The sequence below is a fragment of the Homo sapiens genome, chromosome 5, assembly GCF_000001405.40.
Source record: "Homo sapiens chromosome 5, GRCh38.p14 Primary Assembly".
In the NCBI taxonomy this organism is placed as follows: Eukaryota; Metazoa; Chordata; class Mammalia; order Primates; family Hominidae; genus Homo; species Homo sapiens.
The window spans coordinates 42916475-42925733 of NC_000005.10; the positions used below are offsets into that span (position 1 = coordinate 42916475).

Consider the following 9259-nt stretch of genomic DNA (forward strand, 5'->3'; position numbering starts at 1 on the left):
CTTCAAAACTGACCCTGGTCCTCCAGATGAAGGCAGGGAACAGACATTAACAGTGTTCTTTAAATCAGCAGTCCCCAACCCTTTTGGCACAAGGGACTGGTTTTATAGAAGACAATTTTTCCATGGATGGGGGGTTGGTAGACAGGGATAGTTTGGAGATGAAGCTGTTCTACCTCAGATAATCAGGCATCAGATTCTCAGGAGGAGCGCACAAGGTAGATCCCTTGCATGTGCAGTTTACAGTAGGCTTCGTGCACCTACGACAATCTAATGTCTCTGCTGATCTGACAAGAAGTGGAGCTCAGGTGGTAACGCTGGGCTGCTGGCCACTCCCATCCTGCTGTGCCACGGGGCTCTTAATGCTAACGGTAGAGGGTGTCCAGGTTCTTGGCGTCTTGAAGAAAGAATTGGACAAAATGCGCAAGCAAAGCAAGGACGGAATGAAGGGATTTATTGAAAACAAAAGTACACTCCACAGTGTGGTAGTGGGCCTGCGCATAGGGGCTCAAAGTTACAGAGTTTTTGTGAGTTTAAATACCCTCTATTTGGGGTACGCCCTATGTAAATGAAGAGGATGAAGTAAAGTTTCAAAGTCATTTACTGGGTGTATGCCCTATGGAGAGGATATTTCCTGTTATAGCTGAAGTGTGAATGGGCCTTATGTTCCCGGCCTCCAGACCCTATTTTCCTGCCTCACTAACAGGCCAGGGTCCAGTACAGGCACGCTGTCTGGGGAGTTGGGGACCCCTCTTTTAAATAGTTTAAAGTTTACATTGTAATAAGGGCTGGAAGAGGGGGTTGGGATGTCCTTCACATGAGGCCGATGGTGCCTGCCTACTGCGAAGCTGATTGGCATGCTGGGGGTGCAGTGGGGCAGGTGTAGCCTCTTTGCCTCATTTTCCCCTGCACTGCCCAGACATCTCCTGGACTGCCTGCATCATCAAGATCTGGACTTCAGAGCACGTCTTTGATCACCTGTGGGAAATTGTTACAACAGTTGCAATGCACAAATACCCAAAAGCCCTATGAACCAGGGCATGGTGTGGGTTGATGTGTTGGACACACATATAGATCCCAATGAAGAGTTGCACAGCCACAGACTTCTCTGCACAGAGTGGGAACTACAAGTCTCTTATTGGTACAGAAAGAACCAAAACATATGTGCTAGAATATTCTGTAGTTAATCCTATAGAGAAAACAATGGAACTTAAATCTACTAATATTTCACTTAAAATATGGTTTCATTAGGTGAGAGACTTATATACAAACCACATCCTCAGGACCCAGAAAAAAATTATTTTGACTCAAGAAGCCATAATCAGTGAAAGGAGGCAGCCTCAGCAGTTATCTTGAAGGACTGATGGCAAGTAGGATATCTTCAAATGCTATCAAAGGCACGGAAGCACTGGAATGGGTCATACATAAATTACATGTTAAAAAATGAAGAATTGATGGCTTTCACAAGAGGAGGCATAAGAACTCCGGTGGTGGCTGCAGCAGCCTTCGTAGTGAATTGATAATGAATGTGTGTAGACAAGTACCCCACGTCTCTCCAAGCCGGCAATATATTTATTTTAAAACTATAAATATATTTTAAGTAGAATTTTTAAAAAGTAGGCTGACATAAGACAGTGACTTTAGATCAAAACAAAGAGATGCATGGCGTCTAAATAAAACGGATCGTCTGAAATTAGTGTTATTTGAAATGACTGTCTAATATTGGAGATTCCAGTATTTATGAAAAATTTAACATTGAAAGAAATTATTCTTCTTAATGTTTATTTTAAATTCAGGGTACATATGCAGGTTTGTTATTTTGGTAAACTTGTGTCATGGGAGTTTGTTGTACACATTATTTTATCACCCAGGTATGAAGCCTGGTGCCCATTACTATTTTTCCTGATCTTCTCCCTCCTTCCATCATCCACCTTCAATAGGCTCCAGTGTCTGTTGTTCCCCTCTTTGTGTCCATGTCCATGTCATCTCCAGCTTGTAAGTGAGAACATGTGGTATTTGTTTTTCTATTCCTGCATTAGTTTGCTAAGAAAAAACAGCCTCCAGCTCCATCTATGTTCCTGCAAAAGACATGATCTTGTTCTTTTTTATGGCTGCATAGTATCCCATGGTGTATATATACCACATTTTCTTTATCCAGTCCACCATTAAAGGACATTTAGGTTGATTCCATGTCTTTGCTATTGTGAATAGTGCACATGCATGTATGGTCTTTATGGTAGAACAATTTATATTCCTTTGGTACATACCCAGTAATGGGATTGCTGGGTCAAATGGTATTTCTGTTATTTGGTCTTTGAGGAATTGCCATGCTGTTTTCCACAATGGTGGAAATATTTACACTAATTTACACTCTCACCAATTGTGTATAAGCAAAATTTTAACATTTTTTTAAAAAGTACTTGGAAGTTTGCATTGACATTGAATCAACTTAAGGTAGAATTTTAAAGCTTTTCATACTTTGGAACACCACCTGGCTTTGGTCCAACCCCAGAACAAAGCAGAGCCATCTCTTACATACAAACAATTGTCCTGCTGCTGTAAACTTCAACACCTTGCATGAGGAAATTCAATTTAAAAGGAGAACTTGTATAGCTTTCAAACATATTAATATGTTTATTAATAATAACTTGCTCTGCAAGTTATTTTAAACCATCATTAAAAACCAGTGTTTGCCGGGTGCAGTGGTTCACACCTGTAATCCCACTGCTTTGGGAGGCCAAGGAGGGCAGATCACGAGGTCAGGAGTTTGAGACCAGCCTCGCCAACATAGTGAAACCCCATCTCTACTAAAAATACAAAAAAATTAGCCAGGCGTGGTGGTGGGCACCTGTAATCCCAGCTACTTGGGAGGCTGAGGCAGGAGAATCGTTTGAACCTATGAGGCGGAGGTTGCAGTGAGCTCAGATCACACCATTTCACTTCAGCCCGGGCTACAGTGCAAGACTCCATCTCAAAAACAAAACAAAACAAAACAAACAAACAAATGAACCAGTGTTTTGGTTTACTACTTAAGTATATTTGGAGTGAAAATTATCACTAAAATAATATATGACTCTAACAAAAATGCTTTCATTGTAATAAAATGTACTACATTGATTTGCCAAAGTTTTGCAACCTGGTAAAGGTTGCAAAAGGTCCTTGGATTTGTAGTTTGTGATTTAATATGCTGTACCATGGACTGGTTATGTTAACTGGAAAAATAAATTTGTTACTTGAAAATCCAAACAAAACAAAAAACAAAAAGCGAAGGCAGATTAAAGAGGACCACAGGAAGATTTATAGCCTTGTGCCTTCTGAGTTGACAACCACAGAGTTCCAGGGCATTAACTCTAGATCTGACAATTCCAGGCACCTACAGAATTCTCCCCTGGTGAGTCTTACCCACGATCTGGAAGTCCAAGATCAAAGCACCAGATTCAGCTCTTGGTGGGGATTCTCTTTCTGTCGTGCCAATGGCCATGTTGTTGCTGTGTTCTCACATGGCACAGAGGGAAAGAAAAAGAGAGAAAGGGGGAGAAAGGGAGAGAGGGAGAAGGGGAGAGAACAAGAAGGACATGGTATCTCTTCCTTTTCTCGGAAGGCCGCCAATCCCATTATGAAAGCCCCAACCTCGTAACTTCATCTTAACGTGCTTGTCTCCCAAAGGCTCCATCTCTAAATACCATCACCTTGTGGATTAATCAAAATCATCATGAATTTTGGGGAAGACAATTCAGTCCATAGCACCAAGTGTATGTGATGATCTCATAATCTCTGCCCATCTCAGGGCCTGCATCAACTGAGACTATTTTCTTTCTTCAGGCATTTCAGAAGACAGAGATTTTTTTTAAAAAAAGGTGCAGCAGAGAATACAATGCATTGATTAATTAATTAATTAATTAATTCTGAGACAGCATCTCACTCCAGCACCCTGGATTATTTGGGTTACTTCAGTGCCCCTCTGGCAGGTGATATTGTTTCACATTCATTGCTTGCCTGTATGGGGGCAAGTACACAGGCATCCATTGGGCCAATCCCCTTTTTGTAGCTTGATTACTTTCCAGACTCAGACCTTATTCTTATTCAGCTCATTTGAGGTCCACTAATGCTCTAATGCTTAACTCATAGCATAGATTTTATTTCACATTAATGGATTCAGAAGTGTGACCAATGCCCAATGTCACAATTCTTTTTTAATTGGAAATGACCCAGACATTCAATGGTATCTGAAATAATTTTAATAGTTTAAGTTACATTAAAAGTTCACCTACAAGCATTGATTCCATTTACATTTATTCAATTTATTCACCTATAGCAGTTTATCTAGATTAGTTCTTAGAACTAAGACATTAGACAACACTAATTATCGCTCCAAGTTATTTCTTTGTTAACAATTTGCATGGCCTGTGAATATCAGGTGTTCACCTATGCAAAAATCTTAAACACATGGGCATTTTTTTCTGATAATACAGAAAAATTAATTATTCTTATGGAACCAACAATATTAAATTAGTCTTATTTATCAAAAAAGTCATTCAAAGAAAGATTATTCTGTTTTTGGTTGAGTTTATGATCTTATAACCTTCATGTAAAATTCTAGCATGTTCAAATATTTAGCAAAGGCAAATATAAAACTCATCTAATTAGTAAACCCAGAAAAAAATGTATGTTTACCATTCCAAAGACATTTCTATTTTTATTTTGTGAATAGTTTTAAAGCAAGCTTATTATTAAAGACTACTAAATTCACACAAATTTGAAAAGCATTTGGACTTTCTTGCTAAATTTGTAAGCACTCATTTACTTATAAGCCAATATGGTGCCATTTTGGACATAACATACAACATAATACATGTAACACGCACAGAAACACATAGAAACACGTATCCATACACACAAAGATCAAATAGATGTTACCGTGAAACTCTAGCCATGACATGGCATCATAAACTCATTATTTTACAAAAGGCAGCTGGAGTGGATCCAAATTATTTCAGGACAGGACAAAACTGGGACCTGTCCACATGGCTAAACTTTATCTGCCCTGATAGGTAATCCAGTTAATGCTGTGGACCAAACCTTTGGCTAATGCAGTTTCCATAGTAGTTTTATATCTAAAACTTTTTTTAACCATTTTTTCCTTCAGTTCCAAATTAGTTTCCAATGTTTACATCTTAGCTAGAACTGGCTGAACTGCATACAAAAAACAAAGTTTCCAGGCCGGGCACAGTGGCTCACGCCTGTAATCCCAGCACTTTGGGAGGCTGAGGTGGTCGGATCACGAGGTCAGGAGATCCAGACCATCCTGGCTAACATGGCGAAACCCCGTCTGTACTAAAAAAATACAAAACATTATCCGGGCGTGGTGGTGGGCGCCTGTAGTCCCAGCTACTCTGGGAGGCTGAGGCAGGAGAATGGTGTGAACCCGGGAGGCGGAGCTTGCAGTGAGCCGAGATCGTGCCACTGCACTCCAGCCTGGGCGACAGAGCGAGACTCCGTTTCAAAAGAAAAAAAAAAAATAACACCTTTCCAATAGGCTTCAATTTGCATTATCTTAAGCGGTGCATACACAAAAATGGGCCTTACCTCCTTTTCAGTTTGGGAGAATGTTAAAGTGCCAGGATTATCTCATAACAATGGTAATCATGAACAGAATCTGAGAGCCCAAAATGATAAATCAGGAAGGGGCCTCTGTGGAGGGAATCATGCCGCAATCAACAATGTCCATATAGGGTGAAATTGCCTGACTGTTCAACAATCGTGGGCTGCTGCTATTTTCACCCTTTCAATGATTAAATGTTAAAATACCTGACAATACCAAGTGTTAGAGAGCATATTAAACTTCAGAGTATCTAATATATTGTAAATGGTAACATGTATTTGTACTATCACTTTGAAAAACAATCTGTTGCCTTATGAAGCTGCAAGTCACATATCTCAAAACCTACCAATTCCATTTCAGAGTACACGTCCAAGAAAAATTGTTGAACATACATATACACTAGGAAATATGTAAAAGAATATTAATATCTGTGCTGTTAACAGTAACAAAAACCTGGTGGGGAAGGAGGATCCAAAGGTTCTCATTGAGGTTTTAATTTCCATTTCCCTGATGATTAGTAATAAAAGAGCATTTTTTATATATGTTGGCTATCTGTATGTCTTCTTTTAAGAAACGTCTTTTCAATACAATAACTGAACTGATTGCAGAAAAGTTTGCTGGGTGGCTTTGGACCAACTAAATTCCCCCATTTTCTTGCTTGTAGTCCTCAAGAATAACTGTAGAATGTGCTGGGAGTGCAACATCCTAAAATAAGGAGGAAGTGGCTGAAACAGCCTGGGCTGTATTCCTGTCTCCATCTAGCACAAGATGTCCTTCAACCCTTTAGCCCAGCGTGCAAGGTAAGCTGCTTATTGGGGTCCCTCAGCTGTGGTGCAAGAAGAGCATGTGCAGTTAAGACACCATCTACCGTAGGCAGCTTTCTGAGTTACAAGGGACCAACACACAATGAACCCTAGTCTTGCTATCCCTTGCTGCCTGTCTGTAAGTACAAATTTGCTTCATATAGCTTGCTTATGAATATCTTATGTCTCAGCTGATTCAAAGAAGTTGGTAAGCAGTGCACAGTTAACCTGCTTCACACTTACAATTTTCTGATCTTTCACAAATTACTGGGCATTGGTCTTACATCACTGCTCTTTTTGAACCTCGGGATATGGTAGATACAACCATTCAGTTTATATATTTTTTTATTTTTGGGACGGAGACTTGCTCTGTCACCCAGGCTGGAGTTCAGTGGCCTGATCTCGACTCACTGCAACCTCCGCCTCCCGGGTTCAAGCGATTCTGCTGCCTCGGCCTCCCAAGTAGCTGAGACTACGCGCACCACCACACCTGGCTACTTTTTGTATTTTTTAATAGAGACAGGGTTTCACCATGTTAGCCAGGCTGGTCTCAGACTCCTGACCTGGCTCACGCCTGTAATCCCAACACTTTGGGAATTAATCTTTAGAACTGGGCCATTTTCCCTAACCACCTCCAAGCTCCCTCCCAAATAATCCTTTGAGCTTCCCTCCCATTCCCCTTCATCGCAAACACCACACCCACACCCTGCCTTCAGCCCAGTATCCATCCCACCAAACGCACACACTCTAGCTCAAAGATACAGACATACCTCTTTCCCACAGCCCTGGTTCTCGGTCTCTCCTGTAGTACTACCAGAACGTTTGGGGTCAGAAATCGGATATCTACACTTCCCCGTCTCCCAAAAGAGCTTCCCTCCTTAGGCGTCCGGAGGTCTCTTGGATTTTTCACTGCTAATCCCATCTGTCTTCACTAGACTCACTTCCCACAACTTGCTCCAGGAGGGGCCTATGTGGACACTGAAGGCGACTGGGGCGGTTCCTCTTCTGATGTAGTTAGCTCTCAGTTAGCTCACCGCCCAGTTCTCCTTGATCTCTCCGGGCTGGACCGCCTCGTAAGCAGGAGGAGCATAGAAGGAGGCGGGCTCCACAAGCTTGATCTTCTGAATCCCCTTGTCTCTGTAAACTTCCCCTGGAAGAAGCGATGCACTGGCGAAGCCATGTGAGGGGGGCTTTTGGTTCCAGAGAGACAGCCCGAGAGCCCCAGTGGGAACCATCCGGAGACCCAGAAGATCGAATTCGCGGGACGGCGCGTTACCTTCCAACACCGCTGGGCCACCACTCTGAGAACCAGAATCAGCGGTACTGGGGCTTCCCCACGGGACAGGAGCGCGTTCTTTGGATTCCCCTGGTGCGGCGTGCACAACCTTCGGACGAAGAGTCCACGCCTGCCACCCAGGAGGAGGCCCAGGCGCAGGCAGGAGTGGCGGCCGCAGCCTCGTCGGAGGAGCCCGGTCACTGCGCTCCGCGGCCGCCACACGCGCCGCGATCGGCCCTCTTCGAAGACTGGTCGCGGGAACCAGAGAGGTCTGACGATGGGGACCTCTCGGAGTGTCGTCGCCCTGCTACTGAGCCTTGGCGGCCACCGGGCTCAGCCTGGAGGCTTCCTTGTGCAGCATAGGCCGCCTGTCCGCCAAGAAGACCGCAGCCTGCCTGGGACGGCCGCCCTGGGCGCTCAGAAGCCAGGAGATGTCCAACGAGGCCCTTGGGTTCCTGATCCTCTGCCCAAGAACTGGGTTTCCGTAATGCCTCTGCTCTGTTCCCATGCCACTCAGGAGGCTGTGGCTGAGCAGCGCTTCGGACACATTATTCTCTTTAGTCTGTTCTCGGAATAAAATCCAACGCCAAGGCAAAAGTCTGCATCGCGTGTGTTTCTGGCCTAGCTTTTGGGGATGGATGGACCAATGCAAGGGCTGCTCTGATTGGGGGTCCCTGTGCTGTCCCGAACCACGCCAACGCGGGACATTCTCAGGCTTCCCGGCCAGGGAGCAGGGAGGTAGCCAGGGCCTCCCGGGCCAAAGGGCGCGCCAAGGAACAGACTTGCCCCTTCATCCACCTTCCTCCAAACACACTGCGCAGCCCAGGCTTCCTGTCTACCTGGAGCACCAGGTCCATCCCAGAAAACTTACCTTCCTTCTCCTCGTCCTCCTTCTCTTCCTTCTCCCCCTCCTTCTCAGACTCTCCTTACACCCCCTGTGCATCTCAAGCCTGCACACAGAGAAAGCAGCCCTTTGTCCCCACCTCCCCCTTCCCACTCCCAGCCATAGAGTTTAATTAGTGCCCCCCAGCCCTGTCAGGATGTGCTTTATTCCGACGCTTATTCCAACTGGGGAGACCTTACAGGCCCCTTTCCTCCCTAGTTCAAAGGGACCTTGAGTCTACTGGAGCCAGGAAGCCCACACCCTGGATACCTCCATGGACTTCACAACATACACAGCCCCTAGTGGGGCAAAAGACCATTCCTTTGGGCAAGAAACTTCTGTAGTGGCTTGCAGGCTCCTCTTTCTTTTCTGGGACCTCTTTACTCAGTTCTGTGCTTTTCACTTCTCTACTGGGAAGATCTCAACCCTCCCCTCCCTTCCCCTGACCACTGTCACAGTACATACACACACACACACACACACACACACACACACACACACACACACACACACGGATACATCCACCTGGGACTGCCCCCATGTTGTCGTTGCCCTCCTCTGTCCTGCCTGGAGTCTTCTGTTGTCTCCGTGTATAGCTGAAGGTGGATGTTGTTGCTCATCCACCTTCACTGCCCTATGCGCACCACACTGAAGAGCCAAAGTAGTAAAATGGGGTTGATTTTTGTCCTCTGGTGGAC

General features: G+C 44.4%; 1 protein-coding gene and 1 pseudogene across 1 annotated transcript; both read left to right on the forward strand.

Annotated features, from left to right (window-relative positions):
- PRELID3BP6 (PRELI domain containing 3B pseudogene 6) lies at positions 885-1785 on the forward strand (annotated as a pseudogene).
- On the forward strand, positions 7230-8275 carry LOC124900971 (uncharacterized). The gene has a single exon (XM_047417969.1). The coding sequence runs from the start codon at positions 7565-7567 to the stop codon at positions 8039-8041; it is 477 nt and encodes a 158-aa protein (XP_047273925.1). The 5' UTR covers positions 7230-7564; the 3' UTR covers positions 8042-8275.
- Positions 8276-9259: the final 984 nt, after the last annotated feature.